This window comes from Homo sapiens, chromosome 14 (assembly GCF_000001405.40).
Source record: "Homo sapiens chromosome 14, GRCh38.p14 Primary Assembly".
NCBI classification, from domain to species: Eukaryota; Metazoa; Chordata; class Mammalia; order Primates; family Hominidae; genus Homo; species Homo sapiens.
Window position 1 is genome coordinate 71,517,301 of NC_000014.9, and position 24,137 is coordinate 71,541,437.

Here is a 24,137-nt window from a genome sequence, read left to right on the forward strand (position 1 = left end):
TAATTAAAAAAATTTTTTTTGGTTTATTACAAATTTATTTCGGCATAGGTACTGAGGGACATTGTCCCCTTGAGTTTTTTCACTTGATGCATTTAACATCATGGTTCACTGATTTTCCTGCAAACAAAACCACATTCTGTTTTCTTATTTTACTGTTGGAATTTGAGTTGTTTGCAGTTTTCTGTGGGTATAAACAATTATATGTGTCTCCGGGCGACACGTCTCTCAGTGAACATAAATTTAAGAGTGAAATTGCTGGATGGTAGGATATGCCGTACCATCTGCCTACCTAACATCTTGACTGCCTTTCAAAGTGATTGTACCAATGTACATTCCCACCAGAGCATCTGAATGTTTCCATTGCCCCACAGCTTTGCCACATTCTTGACATTGTTTGACTTTTTAAATTTAGTCAAGCTAGTAGTGTGAAAGGTGCTTTTCATTTATATTTTCCTAATTACTAAGGAAGGAAACTGAGCATCATTTTTTTGTATTGAAGGACTTTTTGTATTTTGTAACTTTTATATATTTTTCTCTCGGATTGTTTATCTTATACATTTATAAGAGTTATATACTCTGGATACTTATATTTTGTTGATATGATTTTTAATTTGTGGCTTATCTTTTTATTTTCTTCATGGTATCCTTTAATGAACAGAAGTTTTTTATTTTAACATAGAATGAGGCGAGCTGCAGTGGCTGGACGGACACAGTGGCTCACACCTGTAATCCTTCCACTTTGGGAGGCTGAGGCGGGTGAATCACTTGAGCTCAGGAGTTAGAGACCAGCCTGGGCAACATGGCAAAACCTCATTTTTACAAAAAATACAAAAATTAGCCAGGTTTGATGGCTCACACGTGTAGTTTCAGTTACTTGGGAGGCTGAGGTGGGAGGATTGCTTGAGCTTCAGAGGCGGAGGTTGTAGTGAGCCAAGATCATACCACTGCACTTCAGCCTAGGCAACAGAGGGAGACTGTCTCAAAAAAAAAAAAATTGTATTTTATTTTTTAAATGCAAGTCTTTAGTTAAGTTGGGATTTATTTTTATATAGAGAGTAGAACAGGAATCTAGTTTAATTTCCCTCCACATGCATAAACACATTTGCAAGTACCATTATTAAATAATTCAACCTTTCTCCATTAACCTGGAAGTCTTACTGTGTTATAATTAATAGTTGGTATGGCAGATCCCCTCATTACTGTTGTCTTCATGTGTAGTATCTTGATTTTTCTTGGGCTTTTGATTTTTCATGTGAACTTCACATATAGTCAGCTTGTGAAGTTTTTTTCTTTTTCTTTACTTTTTGTTACTAGTATTGGCACCATTGATTGGAATTTGTCGAGTTTTTAAAATGTCCTGCTGGATGTAGTGGTTCACGCCTGTAATCCCAGCACTTTGGGAGGCTGAGGCTGGCAGATCACTTGAGCTCAGGAGTTCAGCACCAGCCTGGGCAACATGGCAAAACACTGTGTATTAGTCTGTTTTCATGCTGCTGATAAAGACATACCTAAGACTGGTAAGAAAAAGAGGTTTAATTGGACTTACAGTTCTACATGGCTGGGGAGGCCTCAGAATCATGACGGGAGGCAAAAGGCACTTCTTACATGGCGGCGGCAAGAGAAAATGAAGAAACAAAAGTGGAAACCCCTGAAAAACCCATCAGATCTCTTGAGACTTACTCACTATCACAACAATAGCATGGGAAAGACCAGCCCCCATGATTCAATTACCTTCCCGGGGTCCCTCCCACAACACGTGGAATTCTGGGAGATACAATTCAAGTTGAGATTTCAGTGGGGACACAGTCAAACCATATCACCCCATCCCTACAAAAAACTAGAAATATTACCCGGTCGTGGTGGCATGCACCTGTAGTCCCAGCTACTTGGGAGGCTGTGGTGGGAGGATCACTTGAGCCCAGGAGGTTGATGCTGCAGTAGTGAGCTGTGATTGCACCACTGCACTTCAGCCTGGGCAACAGAGTGAGAACCTGCCTCAAACAAAAACAAAAACCCTCCTAATAAAATCCTATGGATGTAGATATATGTGTAGATGTATAACACACATGCATTTATATTCCCTAGCACTGCCATTGACAGTGCCTGAAAGTATCCCCCAATAACAATGAACATATCTGGCACCCTAATCTTGATTTCTAAATACAATTCTCTAATAAAAGGAACCAGTACTCCTTGGAGAAATGAGACCAAAACATGTAGTTTCAGAAAATGAGGAAATGATTGCCAGATACAGCAGCTCATGCTTGTAATCCCAGCTACTTGGGAGGCTAAGGCTGGAAAATTGTTTGAGGCTGGGAGTTTGAGACCAGCCTGGGCAACATAGCAAAACCCTACCTCTAAACAAATAAATTAAAAAAAAAAATAGCCAGACATGGTGTCACACACCTGTAATCCTAGCTACTCAGGAGACTGAGGCAGGATTATTGCTTGAGCCCAGGAGTTTGAGTGAGTTATGATCATACCACTGCACTCCAGCCTGGGTGACAGAGTAAGACCTAGTCTCTTATGGAAAAAAAAGATTGATTGATTGACTGATTGATTATAATAGTGATTAATTATAGTAAACAATAATAGTAATGGATTATAACCCACTGAATAAATTGATGAATAACATAAATGTAAGAATGAATAAATGATTAGCTGGTTGTGGTGGCAGCACACACCTATAATCTTAGCGGCTGAGGACAGAAGGATTGCTTGAGCCCAGGAGATCGAGGCTGCAGTGAACTGTGATTGCACCACTGCACTCAAGCCTAGGTGACAGAGCAAGACCCTGTCTCAAAAAAATGAAAAAACAAATTTTTTTTAAATAATGAAATGCCGTTAATTGAAAGCTTGATGAGGTACCAGATATTTATATAGTTTCAGATTACCTCCATATGAAATACTTACTAATTACAAAGGGGGAAAGAATAAATTACAGTGGTGGAAGCCTGGCAGATACCACCTTAATCAGTTCATCAAAATGAACATCATTGGTAAGAATACAAATCAAAATTGTTTGTCACTGATAGGATGCCATGAGAACACAGTATTCTTTCTGTGATATTCTTGCTAGTGTTTTTGCTTATTATTTATTTTTAAATAAATGTTATTTTGAAGTATGATATACACACAGAGCACAGATCATAAGTGGATAGGTCAGTGAATTTCAAAAATTGGACTCATCTATGAAACCAGTCCCGAGATCAAAAAAATGAAGTGTCACTCTGGAAGCCCCTGATGGGACTCCTGCGAGTTATAGCAGTGATTAGTTTTGCCTGGTGTTGAACTTTCTGTAAACGGAATTAGGTAGTGTATACTTTTGTATATGGCTTTTTTCTTTCAGCATTACATGCATGATAGTTCATGTTACAGGTAGCAATATTTCATTACTTTTATTGTTACAGTATTCCGTTATATGGAACTCCTCAATTATTATTTTTCTTTCCTTATTATTATTTATTTTTGACACAGGGCCTCACTCTGTCACCCAGGCTGGAGTGCAGTGATGTGATCTCAGCTCACTGCAGCCTCCATCTCCCAGGCTCAGGTGATCCTCCCACCTCAGCCCCCCGAGTAGCTGAGACTACAGGAATGCACCACCATGTTTGGTTAATTTTTTAATTTTTTTGTACGGATGGGGTTTCGCCATGTTGGCCAGTCTGGTCTCGAACTCCTGGACTCATGCAGTCTGCCTGCCTCAGCCTCCCAAAGTGCTGGGATTACAGGTGTGAGCCAGTGTGCCCAGCCTAGCTTTTCTTTCTGCTGTGGATGTGCACTGCAGTTGTTTTCAGTTTTGGGCTATTAGGAATTGCACTGCTATGAACATCCTTGTTTATGTTGTAGGGGAGAAAGATTTCTTTTTCTTTCCAATGGCTAGGTACATGGCTGACATCCTATCACAAAAGACAGATTAACAAGAGAGAAGCATACGAATTTATTAATATAAGTTTTACGTGACACAGGAATTTTCAGGAATTAAGACCCAAAGAAGCAGGGACATCTCTGTATTTTTATGCTAAATTTGATGATGAGTGGACAGTTGTGCAGAAGTCTGATTGGGCAAAGGGAGTATGAGGCAGTGGTAATAAACTAGGCCTATTTGTTCAGCTGCTCCATGTCCCTGTGTCTTCAGAGATAAGGGCATTCCTTTCCTGCAGGTATAGGGAGGGTATCTGTGGAATGAAGGTCTTATGACCTACTTCAGAGGAAGGCTAGAGAATTCTTTTATGGCCTACTTCATAGTAGAAGGACAGGAGAAGGTTGCTTCTGTGGTTTTCTCAAATGCTAAGATGCCATATTTTGCAGTAGCATGTGCTGAACCCCATTAGTGTCTTTTGCTACAAATATGTGTCCATTTATGCTGGCTGTCTACCTAGGTGTGAAATTGCTGAGTTATAGCATATGCCTATGTTCAACTTTAATAGATGCTGCCAGTTTTCCAAAGGAGCCGTATCAGTTAACACTGCTACCAAAGGTGTAAGAGAGTCCCATTTGCTCCACATTCTTAGTGACATGGTTTTAATTTCAGCCATTCCAGTGGGTAGGTAGTAGTACCACATTGTGATTTATTTATCATGACTAATGGGGTCAGTCATCTTTCATCTGACTGTTAACCCTTTATTTGGTTGTCATCTTTTGTGTGGTATCGCCATTCATCTGCTTTTTAAGTCTGTCATCTGGGATCATTTTCCTGCTGTGCAAAAGTCATATAATTTATTGTGTGTCTGTTGATGGTAAAATCTTGGTTTTGTTTGCCTGAAAATGTTTATTGTTCTAGAAGGAATTATCTCTAGCTATATAATTCTGGGTTGATAGTTCTCTCTCTTAGTTTATTGAAAATAATAGTTCTCTCTGTCTTGTGGCTTCCATTGTTGCTTTTGAGAAATAAGTCATCACCTTAATTGGGGTAATTTGTAGGTGATTTTCTTTTCTCTGCTGCTTTTAAGATTGTTTTTTATTTAGTGGTCAGTATTTTTACTTTTATGTCTCTTGGTATTGATTTTTCACTTGCTTCTTGTTTGCTGGCCTTTCTGGATTCAAGGATTGGTGTGTCATTTATACCAGAGAGTTTCTCCATTATCTTCTTCTAGTACAGTGTGAGTATCCCTGATCTGAAATGCTTGGGACCAGAAGTGTTTTGGATTTCAGGTTTTTTCAGATTTTGGAATATTTGTAGTATACTTTCTAGTTGAGCATCCCTATCTGAAAAACTGAAAACCTGAACTCCAGTGAGCATTTCCTTTGAGCATCATGTCAGCACTCAAAAAGTTTGAAGTTTTGGACCATTTCGGATTTCAGATTTTCCGATTTGGAATGCTCAAGTGGCACTCCTTTTAGGCAGATTTTAGGTCTATTCACTCTATCATCTAAGCTTCTTAATTTCTCTCTCTCTTTTTTTTTTTTTTGAGATGGAGTCTCCCTTTGTTGCCCAGGCTGGAGTGCAGTGGCACGATCTCGGCTCACTGCAACCTCTACCTCTCAGGTTCAAGTGATTCTCCTGCCTCAGCCTCCCGAGTAGTTGGGATTACAGGCTCCACCACCACACCCAGCTAATTTTTGTATTTTTAGTTGAGATGAGATTTCACCATGTTGGCCAGGCTAGGTGATCCACCCGCCTTGGCCTCCCAAAGTGCTGCAATTACAGGTGTGAGCCACTGCACCCGACCTTACTCTCTCTTTTAAGGTTTGCATTTTTTTATTTGAGAAACACTCTGGGTAATTTTTCAAGGTCAGTCTTACAGTTTACTGATTCACTGTTCATCTGTGTCCATTCTGTGATTTATCCACCTAATGAATTTTTTTAAAGTTCAGTTATCACATTTTAAATTTCTCGATGGTTTGGTTCTCTCTCCATTCTGTTTGGTTATTTACAGTCCCTTATTTGCTCATATTTTCAAACTTCTCATTTACACATATATGCATATATGTTTTTTTTTAGATATCACACTTTGTCAGCTTTAATATTTGGCATAGAGAGAAAAAGGCCTGCAACTAGATTTTAGATGAAAGTTATGACTCAGAATCCCTTGTCTATCCATATTTTTCTTTTTTTCGCTTTTTATTTTGACATAATCTCAGAGTTTAAAAAAAAAAAGTTAGATATGTCAAGCAACTTCCATCTACCCTTTGCCCACCTTTCCCAAATGTTAATATCTTACATAACTATAGTAAAATTATCTAAATCAGGTAATTAACCTTGATAGAATACTGCTAACTGATCTCTACACTGCATTTGTTTTTTATCAACTCTTCCAATAATGTCTTTTGTTTGGACCGTGGTCCAATCCAGGATCAAACATTACAGTTAGTTATGTTTCCTTATTTTCTTTAACCTGTGGTGTTTGTCAAATGGTGGTTTTTCTACTTCCATTATCCTTTTTGCATGTGTCCATTAAAATTTTCCTATAAGAAAGAGCTTGGCCTTCTCTTCCATGTACTACACATTCAGTTATTTATTTTTTATCACTATGGACTTGTGGATGTTTGTTTTATCCTATGGGTTATAATCCTTTAAATTGTTCCAGATGTGGCCTCTTCAGTTTGGTTCCACTTTCCTTTTAAGAAGTCCCCAGCTTTTTTGAGCACTTCCTTACTTTTTGGCACCACAAGATATTTCAGGCTCACCTGATATTTTCCCTGTCTCAGTTTTGCAGCCAGACATCTCTCCAAGTAGTCCTGGTTCTTTTTATTGAAGGATGGTGTTTAGAAACCACCGTCTGGGTGCTAATTGTGCTATTAAGATGTTATTACCCTTAGGCTCTCTCAGAGGACAGAGCTGGGAGATGAATATATGTATGTATACACATATCTACATTTATCTGTTCCTGTCTGTTGAAATACATGTTAAAAACTATGATTTCATAGTGATACCGCTGATTCAAATCTAACACCATGAAATTCATTCTAGCCTTTCTCCTTTCTGTATTTGTTTTGTCTCTAGCCTCAGTGTCTATTATAGTCAAGATACTGGCTTCCACAGTGGTTAGTTCTTCTGCATTCCCTTCAGGGTGGTCATGTGGTTATGTTATGTATTCCTAATGCAGTTTAGTTGTTACTGTTTATGTTTCGCTTTAGGTTCCCCTTATATACTGGTTGATGTTAATTGTTTGCTTTTTTTATTTCGGGAAACATTACCATGGTTCTAAATGTCAAAACTATGCAAAAAGATATATTTTGAGACATGCCACTTCATTCTCATTCTCCATTCTCATTCCCCAGTTCCCACTCCCATGGTTCCATAATGCTTGTAAGATAAAATTCAAACTTCAGTGTGATTTACAAGTCCTTTCATCATCTCAGTTTTATTTATTTGTTTATTTTTAAATAGAGATGAGGTCTCACTATGTTGCCAAGGCTGATCTCAAACTCCTTAGGCTCAAGTAGCCTCCTGCCTTGGCCTCTCAAAGTGCTGGGATTATAAGCATGATCGGCTGCACCTGGCCACATCTCAGTTTTAGCTTGTCCTTGTACGTCACACTCTGGTTGTCTCAGATTTGTGATTATACCTCAGATATGACCGACTCATTCATGTCTCCATGCATACGTTCTCTCCCTCTGCCTAGAGTGATACTTCTATTCTCCTAACCTTGCCTATCTGTAATCATTCAAAACTTATTTCCATTCTTACCTCTATGGGAAAACTTCCTTTCCTTTTTTTCTTTTCACTTGCCTTTTACTCTCCCTACATTTAATAATCTTGCTCTGTCACCCAGGCTGGAGTGAAGTGGCATGATCATGGCTCACTGCAGCCTCAACCTCCCGGGCTCAAGTGATCCTCTTACCTCAGCCTCCTGAGTAGCTGGGACTGCAGGCTCACACCACCACGCCTGGCTAATTTTTGTATTTTTTGTAGAGATGGGGTTTTGCTATGTAGCCCAACTGACTTTTTTTTTTTTTGAGTCAGAGTCTCACTCTTGCCTAGGCTGGAGTGCAGTGGTACGATCTCGGCTCACTGCAAGCCCCACCTCCTGGGTTCAAGCAATTCTCCTGCCTCAGCCCCCTGAGTAGCTGGGACTACAGGTGCCTGCCACCACACCCGGCTAATTTTTGTGTGTTTTTAATAGAGACAGGGTTTCACTGTGTTAGCCAGAATGGTCTCCATCTCCTGACCTCGTGATCCACCCGCCTCGGCCTCCCAAAGTGCTGGGATTACAGGCGTGAGCCACTGCGCCCAGCCTGTAGTGACTAGATTTCAATTATTTTCACCTTCTTTTCTTTATTTCTTCTCTTTTCATTTCACTAATGACATAAGCCCATACAATAGAACGTAAATCCTCATAATGTGAAAACATGTCAGCTTTGAAAGTCAAGACTGTATCATTGCCACGTTTGCTACTTCACTTGAAAAGTTGAAACTTCCTGTCTATTTAATCTGTTAGATTGGAAGAAATTGTTGTACCAGAAATAAATCCCTTCATCAGTCTTTTAAGAGCCTTAGTAAGCTTTTAAATTGTCGTTATTTTTAATGTCCAAAAGGCAAGTTCAGTGACCTTCCAAATTGTGTTTCTAAGCTGTTTGTGTTACTTTTTAAATTCTGTATTGCTTACTTAGCAGATTATGTTAAAATGCAGGGACTTATTTCTACCAGTCTCTTCACCCATCTGTTACTTTCCTTCCTCCCTCTGTATTGCGTTTACCTCCTGCCACTCCTGTGTACGCTATCTAATCATAGCTCGTTCTCAAGTCCTACATGAAACTTGGAAGAGGAGTTTAGTTGCAATGCAGACATCACACTGTAGATGTGAAGGGAGAGCTTCAGGAACTTGCTTTGTGAGGGCACAAGGCTTGCATTCCATCAGTGTTTGAATCTGGGTATAGCATGCTATGAGAAAGCATCCACTTAGTAATGTGTCCCGTATTGTTTATTTATAATAATTACTGAAATGTTTTACTTTTTTTATTCAGAATGAAGACAAGTACATCATAAATTTATACCTTAATGAATTTTTCCAAATTGAACATAGTCGTGAAACTACCACTCAAATCAGGGAATCTAATATTATTAGCCCACCGAATTTCCCCCCTTTTCCTTCTCCCAGTCTGTATTTTCCCCTACATCCTACACTCAGTGGAAACTATTATTCTGACTTACATAGTTTTACCTATTACTGAACTTTATAAAACAGAATCATACAGTATATTCTTTCATGTGTCTGGCATCTTTGTCTCAACATTATGTTTGTGAGATTTATCAGTGTTCTTGTATTAGTTATGGTTCATTTATATTCATTGCTGTGTAGCAGGCGAAACTAAGGCTGGTGGACTGGCTGTTTTTGTAAATAAAGTTTTATCGGAACACAGCCAAGCCCGTATTGTCTATGGCTGCTTTTGTACTCCAAAGGCAGGTTTGAGCAGATGTGACAGGGACAGAGATTTTATGGCCTGCAAAGCCTGAAATATTTACTATTTGGCCCTTTACAGGAGAAAAAAAAAATCCTGATTCCTGCTCTATAATATTCCATTATATGAATATTCCACAATTTGTTACTGGGTTTCGGCTATTACAGCTAACACTTATTGGAAAATTATTGTATAGGATTTATGTTTGCACATTCCCAGGAGGCATTTACCTAGGAGTGGAATTGCTAGGTTGCAGGGTATGTTTATGTTCTGCTTTATTGGATGCTGCCAAACAGCTTTACGGTTTGTATTCCCATCAGCATTGTGTGAGAGTTGAATTGCTGCACATCCTAAGTCTTGGTGTTGTCAGATTTTAAAATTTCAGCCATTTTCATCATTATGTAATTTTATTTCATTGTAGTTTTAATTTGTATTTCCATGGTGATGCATGAAGTTGAACACCTTTTTATATGCTTGTTAGCCATTTTTATATTCTGTTTGGGTGGCTTGTCTTTTTCTTCTCCCCCTAGGACAGAGTCTTGCTCTGGTTGGGATGTGGTGGTGCAATTAGAGCTCACTGAAGCCTCGAACTCCTGGGGACAAGCGATCCTCCTGCTTCAGCCTCCCAAATAGCTGGGACTATAGGCGCACACCACCATGCCTAGCTAATTTTTTATTTTTATTTATTTTTATTTTTTAAACCAAGGAAGATGTTGAATTTTTTTTATTTTTTAATTTTTTTGTAGTGACAGGGTCTTGCTATGTTGCCCAGGCTGTTCTCAAACTCCTGGGCTCAAGCAATCCTCCTGCTTCAGCCTCCCAAAATGCTGGGATTACAGACATGAGCTACTGTGCACAGCCCTCTTATTAATTTGTAAGGAGTTCTTTATATGTTCTGAATCTGTCCTTTGGTAGATATATGTATTGCAAATATTTCCTTCTGTTTTGAGGCGTCCACTTTTCTTCTTTTAATGCTTAAAAATTTTTTTTTTAAAGCTTATTAACTATAATGAATACAGCAACATGGCTGAATCTCACACACACTGAGGCAAGTGAAGTTAGACACTGTATTTGTGGATACATGGACAGTGATCCTCAGCCTTGTCATCATACTACCTGGAAACTTAATTGTCTTAAAGCTTAGTTAGACTTTCATGTTTTTCAGTCCCTCTTAATTGAAAGTGTGGTTTGTTATATAGTTATGTGGTCTGAGGTTTGGATAAGGACAGAGTTCTTATCTTTCCTTTTTTTTGTTTTGAGACCGAGTCTCGCTCTATCGTCCAGGCTGGAGGAGTGCAGCAGCACAATCTCAGCTCACTGCAAGCTCCGCCTCCCAGGTTCAAGCGATTTTCGTGCCTGGGTCCCCAGAGTAGTTGGGATTACAGGCGTGAGCCATTGTACCGGCTATTATCTTTCCCTTTTGAATATTAAAAGCAATTCCAGCATCTTAAAAATCTCAAGTTCTGTGGGTGTGTTTGTTCAGCACTCCATAGTGTGCTGAATATTCATAGATTTTACTAAGTAAGATGATGCAGTATCAGATATTGGAATCATATTTTTGCATTTTTTTCTCCTGAGAACTGTCTCCTCAGATCTTCAAGTTAAGGAATTTAGAAATCGAAGCTTATTTATCTAGCTTTAAATTGCATTGGGTTGAACAGGTTAGTTGTGTCTTGTAGTGAGTAGACTACATGATTTTTGAGGTCTGTTTAATAATTCTATTTTTCAGCTGGGCGCAGTATCTCACGTCTGTAATCCCAGCACTTTGGGAGGCCGAGGCAGGTGGATTACCTGAGGTCAGGGGTTCGAGACCTGTCTGGGCAATATGGTGAAACCTTGTCTCTACTAAAAATACAAAAATTAGCTGGGCGTGATGGTGCGCGCCTCTAGTTCAGCTACTCGGGAGGCTGGGCAGGAGAATTGCTTGAACCTGGGAGGCAGAGGTTGTAGTGAGCCAAGATTGTGCCACTGCAGTGTAGCCTGGGTGACAGAATGATACTCCATCTCAAAAAGAGAAAAATAATAATTCTATTTTTTCCCCTTTTTGTTTCAGCTTTATAAATAGCAGTCCAGGGCAACAGTACTTGATAAAAAGGTATTTTGTTTGTTTTGGTTTGTTATGGTCAGCTCTACAAAGATGCATGTGACCTTAAAAATATTTAGAAATATTATAATACTACAGACAGGCCGGGCGCGGTGGCTCATGCCTGTAATCCCAGCACTTTGGGCGGCTGAGGCGGGCATATCACCTGAGGTCAGGAGTTCGAGACCAGCCTGACTAACATGGAGAAACCTCGTCTCTACTAAAAATACAAAATTAGCTGGGCGTGGTGGCACACGCCTGTAATCTCAGCTACTAGGGAGGTTGAGGCAGAAGAATCGCTTGAACCTGGGAGGTGGAGGTTGTGGTGAGCCAAGATCGCACCATTGCCCTCTAGCCTGGGCAACAAGAGTGAAACTCCATCTTAAAAAAAAAAAAAGAAAGAAATATGATAATACTAGAGACATTTTTCTCTAATGTCTAATTTAAAAGCAACTATTTACCTTAGAAAGGCTGGTTTGCCTCTTCTAGAACAAAGATAAGACCTGTGTAAGTTATACAGCTATTGTATTTTAGTGAAATTTATTGTGCACTTAACCAGGTTTTTTTTCTAATTTTATTTCAGGTTATACCTTATTGGTGTGGACGTTGTCTAAATTTCGGTAGCCATGGCACAAGAATATAGTAAGTACTATGCCATACTTCCTATGACCTACCTGCTTTACAAAGTGTTGATTTTCTGTGTTTAAATTTCTGATTAGAGAAATGAAAACATAGAAACAAAATTTTAAAAAATCTACTTTTCTCAAAGAGATGAAGTCGTTTGTCATCTGCTTTTTGAATCTATAGCTTTATATACAAATACAGTGTAATAGTGATTTATTTCGTATTCTGATACAGTATTGCTCAGGCTATTGCCTGTAAATAGTACTGACTGAACATTAGGGTTGGATCCATATCATGCGTTGCATCTATTCCTCATGTTATGGGGTTGAAGAACTGACTGCAGCTCGCCCTGATTAGGAGCAGTCTCATTTCTGCCTTGTCCATGATTGACTCATGAACTCTGGCTACATCAGTGAGTGCTGAGTGTTACCTGGCCAGGGGGATGGTTTCAGAGATGGTCCTGTAATCCTTTTCTACCCAGCGTGGCTCCAATGTGGGTTTGCCTGGAGCTTCTGGCAGAAGGCTTCTCATGGTTAGGACAGAGCTGCCTCTTACTTCTGGATGTTGTTGTGCGCTGGTGTGAGGTCTGGTGTAGCTGCAGCATTGTGGCTTCCGGACTGAGTGAGAAGCCACACAGGGTGGAGGACGGAGTCCAGAATCACAAGGAAACCAGCCCTGAAGCTTGCCCTTTCTCTGACGTCCAAGCATTTGAGCCAATACATTTCCTTTTTATTTAAGCCAGTTTGAGTTAGGAGCCAAAACAGCCTAAGTGATTCACTTAGTCTCCATTTTATTTTTAGTAATCCATTAGTTTCTCCCTGGGGAAATGTAGGAGTAATTGCAAAGCAAGGCAAAATAATACCATTAAATTAAACTGGCAGAGTGTGTTGGTGTTGACTGGCATACTCTTCACTCTTAACAGTTAGCAGGTAGTGATTTAGTATTCAAAGACATGAGAATAAAATATATCACTTTCAGATTCTACCCCACCCCCACACCCCCAGAAGGTTTTGCGTCCTGATCGACCAACTTGTGCTGTGAATGCTAAAAAGGGTCTTGGATACTGGCAGACTCATCCCTTTGCATAGGTAGGTGCATATTTGGCAGTGCAGACTTGTTCTTTGTGTTTTCTTAGAACAGTCTATACCCTTCTAATTCCTTGTTTTTGTTCTTGAAAAATTAGTAGGAATATTTCAAATATAAAAAGCATATAAGGCATAACACAAATATCCTTACCCCAGCTCCTTTTTGATTAGCAGAAAAACAAAATCCATGTTACCTCTCCTCAACACTCTATAGAGAAATCGAATGTTTACCAATTCCATTGAACATTAAAAAACCCAGGATATTTCTCTCTAACAGCAGTTCCCTTTCTTAATCCCCAAGAAGCCACTATCCTGGTTTTGGTCTTTATTATTCCCATGCATTTGTTTGTGTTCTTCCCACATAGTGTATTGTATGATTTTTGGATGCTTTTTAACTTTGAGTAAATGTAGATGCTATGTGCATTTATTACTCAAAATCGTAAGGGAGTTTAGAATAAATTGAGGATCGCTGAAAGAGGCTATAAATCTGTTCTTAGGTACTTGTGAAAAGATCTATTATTGGGTATCCTAGTGATCTGTGATAGAATGTTTTAGGTTTTGAATGGTCAATGAGTTTGAACCAACATGCTGATAGCTTTCTGTCTTATCTACTAATACGAAGCACTTTTCTCTGGTAATTGGCCTACCATTGAGTTCACTCTCTGTATCTACTTCTACACTCCTGTGCAGGTGTGGAATGTGCAGGATACTTATAGATCAATTGTGTCATTAATGAGGTTTTCAGAGTGTGTTGGTTGCTGTTTCATTTAAATAGCTCTATTCATTCTGTAGTCCAAATGATGCTTCTGGCATCATTTTTCTGCATTGTGAGAATTCGCCATTATGCCTACAAAATTTACTTCTTTTTTTTTTTTTTCTAAATTTGTCAGTTTGTCACTATGTTACTTTGTACTGGTAGCAGTAGTACAGAAGAGGGGTCTACTCCTAAGAACTGGCTGTCAGGTTGCACCTCGAAATAGTACTGTGTATCAGTCATCTGGGAGCCTCCTTGGAAATCTTTGTTGTGCCTTTATGTCCCTTGTGACCCAATATTGGGTCTTAGGGATCATTTTCTATCTTGTTCTTGTGTGAAATGTATCTTTTTTTTGTTTGCTTTTGCTTTTGTTTTTGTTGTTTTGTTTTTTAAGACAGGGTCTCACTCTGTTGCCCAGGCGGGAGTACAGTGGTGCAATCTCAGCTCATTGCAGCCTCGACCTCCCAGGCTCAAGTGATCCTCCCACCTCAGCCTCCCAATTAGCTGGGAATACAGGCATGATGAACCACCAGGTTTGGGTAATTTTTTGTATTTTTTGTCCGCCTCAGCCTTCAAGAGTGCTAGAATTACAAATGTGAGCCACCATGCCTGGCCTGAAATGAATCTTAAGTCATTTAAATTTTGCATTCAAAAAACTAATTCCCTTACTATTGGGGGAGTCCTGTTACCCTTTGCTCTTGCTTGGAATGTTGCCTCCATGAAACTGAATAGTCAGTTCCATTCAAAAATCATTAATCCTTTCAACTTGAGAACCTAATTACTGATAAAGTATCAGAGAAAAATTTACAACAATATAATTTCTGTTTTGTTTTTTTTTCTGGGTGCCATTTTTACTTAAATGTTTAACATTTGAAAAAAAGTGAACTCAAAAGATTTTTTCCCCTTTAATTTATACATATTATATCCATGTTACAGGAAGGAAAACATTAACATCTTTTGTTGAAATTGTTTGAAGATCTTACACTTTGTGAATGTATTGGTTGTTGTGTAATATGTTTTGTGTGCATTTTCTTTTTTAAAAAATCTGCATGTTATAGTTGGGTTTTAAGGGGAAAAGCCTATTGAAAATTTTCTTTGAAAAATCAATTCGGTGAACTGATATTACTCTTTTTTGTTTGTTTCTTGTGGAATGGAGTCTTCTTCTTTCTTATATATGAAAGGACTTGTATATATATTAATGGCATACAAAAGGACTTGTGTAAATATGGAAAGTGGTACAAAAACTTGGCTTGTTTTTGTACCGCCAGATGAAATGCTGCCTTTGTGGGGAACGGCCCCCTGGGCTGAGGGAGCTTCTAGACACTGACTCAGATCTGTAATTAGGTCTTGCTCTCCGCACCCTTGTTGACTTGAAAGCACTGGCCATAGACCATTTAGTCTGGAAAAGCAATACTACATGAATCATCTAAATTGGCACAAATTATCCAGAATGCTACTAAATGTTTTGTACTCCTCTGTAATTGAGAGAATTAGAAAAGGAGACTTGTTCTTTAAAAGTATTATAGAGGGTACGTATACACTGATGAAAGTAAATTTTTTTTCCCTGGATAGAATGAAAAGCAGTGGAATATTTGACATTTGTAAGCAGTTCTGATCTCATGGGTCAGTTTTAGGAGATTCCTCCATGGTTCCCATACTATTTTCCTTTGTGAGAAGGTAGGAAGTGTGGCCTGTCTTCCAGCTCCCGTTTATTTCTCCACTCAGACCTTTTAGACCTGTCTTGCCATCTGTAGCCTCTGCTTAACCTCTACAGGGTGGTGGAGGCAGGGGAAATCCTGGAAACATATTGTATCTGTTTTGCTTCCTCCTAACTAGTCTCACAAATCAGTATCTCAGTATTTAGAATGGAAATATGATACTCCTCTCTTCCCTTTCGAAAATGTTGGGTCGTAGACTTATTGAGACCTGTTAGGTACCTGGCAATGAAGTGGGTGAAAGTCATTTTTTTGGTGTGTTTGCTAAGTAGTAAGTTGACAGTGTTTCCATTTATTTTTAAAAAATCAAATCAAAAGTTTTCTTACTTTGTCTCAATTTACTTTATAACAAGACTTTAATTATATTCTAAAGTTGAAGGCATTTATAAGTCACTTAGGAATAGACATAAAATGAAGACTTTTCCTAGAGTACCCTTTTTCATTTTTTTCTGATAATTTATTAGGAGTCTTTACCAGCACTTCTTTCCCAGCGCTGTGTCTGCTCTAAAAAGGACAAGCAGATTTATTCATTCAGCAGCAAAAAGGCCAAATTTTCAACTTGTAATGTGAGTTGGCTTTTTAATATGTGAATAAACCCTTATTTTCATGTTGGAATATATGTGAGCAGGCATCTCAGAGGAATGCGTCTTTGGCAGTAAGTAGAAGAAAGCCACAGATCACTATGTAATTTTGTGTTGTGAAGGCATAACTGCCATTTTGTGTCTGCGGTTGTACATGCACATGCTTGTGATTCAGGTTGTCTTTGTTAGTATAGGGCATTGCTATTTGTCAGACCTTGCCACTTTCATTTTGGAGTTGTTGAAAATCACATATTCAAATTATAAAATTGTTAGAACATATGCTGAGTTAAATTGAAAGACTTTAGAGTGAGTTTCTAAAAAACTGATTGGTAAAATATTTCATCAGTCAGTACCCTTGATAAAATTCCTCATTAGGTGGGTAGGTGAATATTTTTTCCCTAATATAAATTACAAAAACCTTCATTTAGGCTGTGTTTACAAAGAGTGCCAGTTTGGCTGAGTGCTGTGACTCATGCGTGTAATCCCAGTACTTTGGGAGGCCAAGGTGGGAGGATTGCTTGGAGGCCAGGAGTTTGAGACCAGCCTGGGCAATATAGTGAGACCCCATCTCTACAAAAAATAAAAATAAAAATAAAAATAAAAATAAAAATAAGAAAAGAGTGCTAGTTCTCTAAGAATTGTGATCCTGTTTGTCACAGAACTTGCTTAGTACCCAGTTAACCTTTCACTTAATCTATTTTGGCAATTGTAAGCCAAGAGACCATGCCTTAGTACCAAAAACAAATCACCCAACCTCATTACCCTTGGTTTGCATTTGTATAAATAATTGGGTCATTAGCCAATATGTAAATGGAGGGGCATGAAAGGTTGACCTTAGTGGGAATTTAACAATACTTTATGGCTTCTAGATTAACTCGTGTAAATTATTTATTCGTGGCAGCAAATATCTTTTGTTTGTGGGTGCAGTGCTGTAAGACCTCAATCAAGACTTCTAGAGTTCTTAATGGGTAGGAAAATATCTAAAGGAGTTTTATGCGTGATTATATCTTATTCCATCTAGTAACAGATGCTTTCCCAATTTTGTGAATGAATGGTAATCCCTGATGAAAGAGCTTCCCAACCTCATTTTTAAAAAAAATTTCCTTCACAAACCAATTGAATAAAATTAGTCTGGCCTATGGAGTTAGGTGCCCCCTTTGTAAAATGGAAAGCTTTACTAAACAGTGTGTGCAGAGAGACCATCTGTCTCTATTTCTATCTGAATATTTGGCTCCCTCCCTAAATTTGATGGTATCCCCATTGTATTACTATGCAGTGGCCTCAATTTAAAGATGGAGAAGCCAATGTACATTCATCTGTTCTGCATGTGTATAGAGTCTGTTGATCGTAAAGATTTAGGCCAAGATCCTGCATTCATTGTTACTATAATTTGATCCTTTAGTTGTATTTTGATGATCACTTGGAATAACATTCAGTTGTATTCGTTCAGAGCATCAAGGAAAATCTCATTTAATACACTATTCTCAACAAATGTTAAAAGTAACTTACAAAAATAATACATACTGGTAAAAAAGTAGAAAATGCAGGTAAACATAAAGACAAAAATGAAAACCATCTATAATTTTACCGTCCAGAAGTGGCCATTACTAACATAGGCTAATAATAGGTTCTCACAGAACACAGAGCACACCATTGAGAAGGGGCAGGGGGACCCTATGCCAACAATTAATAAGGGACTGGCTGGAGATGATGACAGCTAGAAACTCTTAAATACCTATGTATGGTGTGTGTTAGACTTAGTGTCTTCTAAACTGGAAGTATTTATTAGCTGTGTTCATTTTATTTAAGATAAAAGAAAGCACCTGTTGAAGGAGTAACTGCCCTATTCTGGTTGACTTTTGTTTCCATTGATTTTTTAGGAAGTGTTTTTCTTATGCAGGGCATGTTTCTCTATGTAAGCATGAATTTTCCTCTTGATTCTTAAGTGAAGGGATAATATAAAATGAGCTGCTATATAGAAAGAGTAGAATAATAACATACTTTTAAAAGGAATGCCTTCTGCTCCTCTGATGGAAAGATAGGAAAGTCAAGTCACCAGAAGCTGCATGTGGTTATTATCAAGGGATAACTGAATGTCAGAATCCCTCCTAGGTTTTTTTTTTTTCCTTTTTCTTTTCTTTTGAGACAGAGTCTCAGTCTGTCACCTAGGCTGGTGTGCAGTGGCACAGTCTCAGCTCACTGCAACCTCTGCCTCCCAGGTTCAAGCAGTTCTCCTGCCTCAGCCTCCCGAGTAGCTGGGATGACAGGCATGCACCACCACACCCAGCTAATTTTTTTTTTTAGTAGACAAGGGGTTTCACCATGTTGACCAGGCTGTTTTCAAACTCCTGGCCTCAAGTGACCTGCCCATCTGGGCCTCGCAAAATGCACGGATTACAGGCATGGGCCACTGCACCTGGTCCCTTCTAGATTTTTAAAAATGGTTTTTAACATAGTGTATCTGTCCCCTGCTACATCTTATCTGATGTCCCTCTTCTTCTGTCTGTTGCCTTGCCATCCTACGGCAGCTTCACGTAACTTAACAATGCTACATTGTAAAATCTAAGGAATTCTGTGCTAAGATCTCTGATTATTCCACTAACATTCTCTCATCCTTCAATTTACAATAGCTTTCAAAAAAAAAAAAAAAAGAGTCTGGCTTTCAAATCATTACACTACAAAGGTTTATGTAAGCAACAGTCATCTCCCTGGATATGAAAGTAGTTGTCCTTTGTGCTGTTTTGATGGCTTCCGAGTGCTTGTTTGTTGGTTTCCTTCTCTGATGCTCAGGATAACTTAGTATGCCACAACCCTCTTAACTTCCAATGGGCTTCTTTTAAGTGTCTATGCTTAACAGAAGCTTTCTCTATGAGCAATAATGTACTTCAACCAGTTGGTCAGTGATGATCCCCACAGTTTGTTGTCTTGAAGCCATTGTGGTATAAACAGAGCAAATGATGAGAGCTTTGTCCTCTGCCCTCTCTTCCAAGTAAAGAGTGTAAAAGTTGTTTTAAAGGAAGTCTGCATTTTGTGGTATCATTCAGTTTTGGAACAGTGTCTATTTAGATTTTAGCCTGGAATTCTTTTGGAAACTCCACCCCTGGAAGAAAATGATTTTAAAAAGAATGTGTTTCAGCAGCTGTTAATGTCAGCAGCAAGAACATAGCACTGTCTTGGAAGATCTTTTGGTTATACAACAGTAGCTTGCTGGATTTCACTTCTGCAGTTGCAGTCCCTTCCATTGAGAGACTGATTTAAATTAGGCGAATATTGCCAAGTTTTAAATTATAATGTTGTATTGTTGGAAAATGCTCAAATGTTGATTCTCTGGCGTTATAATGTGTTTTTAATTTTAAGCATCACATTGAGATTTTAGCATTTAAATACCTGAAGGAAGCGATACGCAAATTTTAACTTGTTAAAAAATATTAATAAGTAGCAGTTGTTTCTTTCTTGCCTGTTTTTCTTTTATGGAATATTTAGATTTTGTATGGTCATATGCAATAGTTCTGAACTCTTGTCTTCTTATGCACAATGTTAGGGTTGTGCATGGGTTGGTTTTCTTGCACAGCTCTCATTAGATTTATTTCAGTTACCTATTCACAGCCCTAATGGTAGTGACATCCCTGTTTATTTACTTCTTGGATTCTTACCAAGTTACAACATGATCTCTTTATCCTTGGGCTGCTGATTCTATTAAGTTTACTATTTCTTTTATTTATTTACTTATTTTTTTGAGACAGAGTCTAGCTCTGTTGCCCGGAGTGCAGTGGCGCGATCTTGGCTCACTGCAACCTCCACTTCTTGGGTTCAAATGGTTCTCCCACCTCCACCTCTCAAGTAGCTGGGATTACAGGCGTGTGCCACCAGGCCCGGCTAATTTTTGGTATTTTTTTTAGTAGGGACAGGGTTTCACCATATTGGCCAGGCTGGTCTCGGACTCCTGACCTCAGGTGATCCAACCGCCTCAGCCTCCCAAAGTGCTGGGATCACAGGCATGAGCCACCAATCCTGGCTAAGTTTACTACTTCTACACGAAGACAGACTGATAGGTTTTTATTTTAGATAAGCAATTCCAGTGTAATCTCTTTTCAGAGGATTTAGATAAAGTATTTTCAGTTGGCCTCCCATTCCTCCTTCTCATTCCTTCAGTGTGGGCGAGTGGGCTATCTTTTTTCCCCTGCATCTTCATTTCCTTTTCTCTCTCTCTCTTTTTTTTTTTCTCCCTTGACAGAGAAGTTTTACTTTCTTCTAAGTGGAGGATGGTAGTAAAAATCAAGTTCAGGTAAAGAATGAAGTTGTGGGCCAGATTTGGGAAGAAAATGAGAGAGAAAAAGAGTTCAGGTGAGGAATTTGTAGTCTTAAAAAGTAAAATCTGCCACTGTTCCTTTAGCTGTTTCTGTGTGACCCTGAATTGGACCAGGTAACTGCCATTTTCTCATCAGGGTCTGAGGATGGCATTTGAGCAATAGCTAGCTTGTCAGTGTTTGTTTTTATAATGCATAGTCAGTTAAGAGTTTGACTGACTTGCTGATTTGTTAACTGCAGGGGGAAAAAAAAGATTCACTCTCTCCTTTCTAATTTCTTACCAGATGAATTCCTCCTTCATCAGTTCTGTGAAGAGGCTATGAAATAATTTGAACAGTTTTTATTTTTAATAATTGAATCTTCTTCCCTACTGTTATACACTAAGATCTCCCTTTTTCTCAAAAGGAGTGAGAAGTTATTTTCCCTTCAGGTTTTAAGGTAAGAATTGGTCCCAGCGAGGTGATTTCTAACTATTCTTACTTTTTTTTTTCTTCAGTCTTCCATAAATTAGCCGAAATAAAATTTTGTTCTGAAATTTTACCAAATTCTTTGAGATTCTTGGAGTCCTCTAGAGGTGGTATGGAGCCACAGCTTGGAATAATTGCTTTAGGAATAATCCTTCCACCTGGTACACAGGGACATCATCCTTTGCAAGGAAGGCGGTTAAATGTGTGTAGTCTGGCAGATTGGGATCTGGACTCCTGAGTGTGTCTCTTCTGCCTTCTTTAGTTTGCTGTTTCAGATCTCTCTGTCCTTATTGCCAAGTCAGGTCTCTAAGCTTCATTGTCAAGTTCACTGTCTTCCTAAGGTTGTAATAGCGGCAGGGTCATGGTGCTTTTTGGAGTTTGTGTCTGTTTTCTGGTGTTTGCTGGATACAAGACGGCAAAGTAGTCCCATTTCTGTTGCAGTGCTTGATAAATGCAGGGTCATGGTGCTTTTTGGAGTTTGTGTCTGTTTTCTGGTGTTTGCTGGATACAAGACGGCAAAGTAGTCCCATTTCTGTTGCAGTGCTTGATAAATGACTGAAGAAAGGAAAAAGGAGAGAAAGAAACAAAGAAAATCTGATTTCTTAAGTAGTTACAGTCTGTTCTTCAGACTGTTTTTTGTTTGTTTGTTTTGATGGTGTTTATTAAATGTGCACATCATTAACTGCAGTCATACAGGGTTGCTTTCAAATCTGGGAGAACACAGTGGTCTACAAAGTAGCTTCTTAGTATTTCTCAACTGTTTTTCAGCACAAGGGAAGATGCACTCATTTTGATTTCCTTCGTTTTTTCCTCCAAGAGCAGAGAGCCGCATTGTTTTTCCTGTGACCTTTATAAAGCCATGTGGTCTGTTTGGAGGACAGTCAGTGCACACTCCATTCAAGGATGCTCTCTACAGTCCTTCCTGCTCCTTGGCCCGTTTTCCAAAATGAGATAATGAATATAAAAACACTCTCTCATAAGCTGTAGAAGTGTCAGAAATGGAGGAGAATATTGTCTTTACTATATTACTCTTTGCTTGTGTGGCCTAGTGTAAATATTCTCTATTCACTACATGATCTCCATTGGTGAAATGGCTGCTTTTGACAATACTGTTTCCAGAGAATAGCTACTTCTCGATTAGGCCAGCTTGGAACTTTTCCAATGGAAAACTATTTGCACATTGAACAAATATGACATATATTGCATTAAAATGAGTTGCTGGTATTTCATAATATTTAGAAGTTGAAGAATCACTGCCCTTTATGTATGGCAGTAAATTTCTTTTGGCAGTGACCATGAAGTTCTTGGCCACATGAGAAATAACTGACCAGAGAGTCTGAATCTAACTTCTTATTCAGAGAGGACTGTTTCTCTGACAGATGGATTTTGTAGCCTTTGTCGAGCTTTTATATAGAATAATGCTTTTTGTTTTGTGATTTAACTCATTGCCCTCAGGCTTTTCAATTTGTATATGTTGATTTGAAGAGCTCTTCCCATGGAGAGATGTGTGACCTGGACTACAGGAAATATAATGTGCAGGAAGAGTTGGGGAGGGGGGCATTTCCTTCCTCGATCTCCCAAAATAGCCAAGTAATTAAATCTATTACTGTAGCTAGAAAGCAGAACTATTGTCTATATTGTCAGCAACACCCTAAGGGTGAAGAGAAGCTGCCTGCCTCTGTGCAAGACATTATCTGAGCAGGCGCCTCATCCAGTGGGACGATGCCATCCACATTTGGAAGCAGGCTGAGAAATGCTTCGGCACTGGCAGCAACTCCTCATCAGAAATGCTCTCTCGCATTTTATAGTAAACCTGTGTTGACTCTGGTGGGGAGCTCTAAAAATACCTTATCATGGAGATTTGACATTTCTTATAGCAGCCGATAGTTTACATTGACAAGCCCCTTGGAATTGTTTCAGAACACTAATCACTTGCTGTCAGCAGCTAGTTCCTCTGAGGGGAAGAGCGGGGCTGATCCTGCCTCTGTTGTGAGACTGCATGATTAGAGGGACATTTCTGAATTCATGTCCATTCCTTCATTTCCAGTGCATACTGAAATCAAAATACCATCAAAGGCTGATAGAACTGATTCACAGAATTTGTTTTTAGGAATTTTGGATTTTTTAAAGTACAGCTAAGCCTGGTGGTGGCTCATGTCTGTAATCCCAGCACCTTGGGAGGCTGAGGTGGGAGAATTGTTTGAAGCCAGGAGCTCAAGAGCAGCCTGGGCAATATAGCAAGACCGCATCTCTACGAAAAATAAAATTTAAAAAATTTTAAAACTAAATAAAAAGTGCTGTGTTATAGCTAGGACAAACAAAAAAAAGGTTGTGTCATTTGTCTTGGAAGTGATGTCTTTGCTGAATGAGAAAAAGAATACAGTGACAAGGGAAGCAGTTTCACTGCTGAAAACATTCTGACTCTTGTTAGAACAGAATTTTCCTCCTCCAAGAGAGATGGTTATTTAGACATGACATTGTTTGAAATTAGGGCAAAATCATGTAGTGTTTTAAAAAAGTACTCAAATATACAGTGAAAAGAAAGCCAAGCTGTAACGCATTAATCAGAACTTATTCATGCTGGCTGGGCAGGGTGGCTCAGGCCTGTAATCCCAGCACTTTGGGAGGTCCAAGTAGGCGGATTGCCTGAGGTCAGGAGTTTGAGACCAGCCTGGCCAACATGGTGAAACCCCAACTCTACTAAAAAGAAAAAAAATTAGCCAGACGTGGTGGCACACACCTGTAGTCTCAGCTACTCAGGAGGCTGAAGCAGGAGAATTGCTTGAACTCGGGAGGTGGAGGTTGCAGTGAGCCAAGATTCTCCAGCCTGGGTGACAGAGCGAAACTCCATCTTTAAAAAAAAAAAGAAGAAGAACTTATTTATGCTATATGGAAGATAATTTTTTCTCTCTCCTTCTGGTGAGAATAATTTGCTGCTCCATGTGAGGTTAAGTTAGTTCCTTTATTGGATCATTTATTAAATGTTAAGTTCTGCCTATGGATGAGTACATTAACCAAGAGGGCATGTTTCATTTTTAGAATAATTGACTAATGTAAGGATTCTAATGTTTATTATATCTATAACAATTCCTCTTTAAGGATAAGTAAATAAAGACCCAAATGCATAGTTACTTGTTAAAAGTAGCAAAACAAGTCATTCAAAGAGCAGGAAACA

The 24,137-nt window shown here is 38.8% G+C and overlaps 1 protein-coding gene across 54 annotated transcripts in view; it reads left to right on the forward strand.

Annotated features, from left to right (window-relative positions):
- SIPA1L1 (signal induced proliferation associated 1 like 1) overlaps nucleotides 1-24,137 on the forward strand; it is a 420,734-nt gene that overhangs the window by 196,825 nt on the left and 199,772 nt on the right. For 45 of the 54 annotated variants that reach the window (XM_047431217.1, XM_047431229.1, XM_047431218.1 and 42 more), the window contains one exon: nucleotides 12,012-12,070. Coding sequence is in view for 18 of the 54 variants with exons in the window: in XM_047431243.1 (XP_047287199.1) it covers nucleotides 12,055-12,070 (16 nt within the window). In the remaining 36 variants the exon portion in view is untranslated. Of the gene's footprint in view, nucleotides 1-11,398; nucleotides 11,441-12,011; nucleotides 12,071-13,030; nucleotides 13,141-24,137 lie in introns of all 54 variants that reach the window. The other 9 variants (XM_047431251.1, NM_001284245.3, XM_047431245.1 and 6 more) reach the window with 2 other exon arrangements.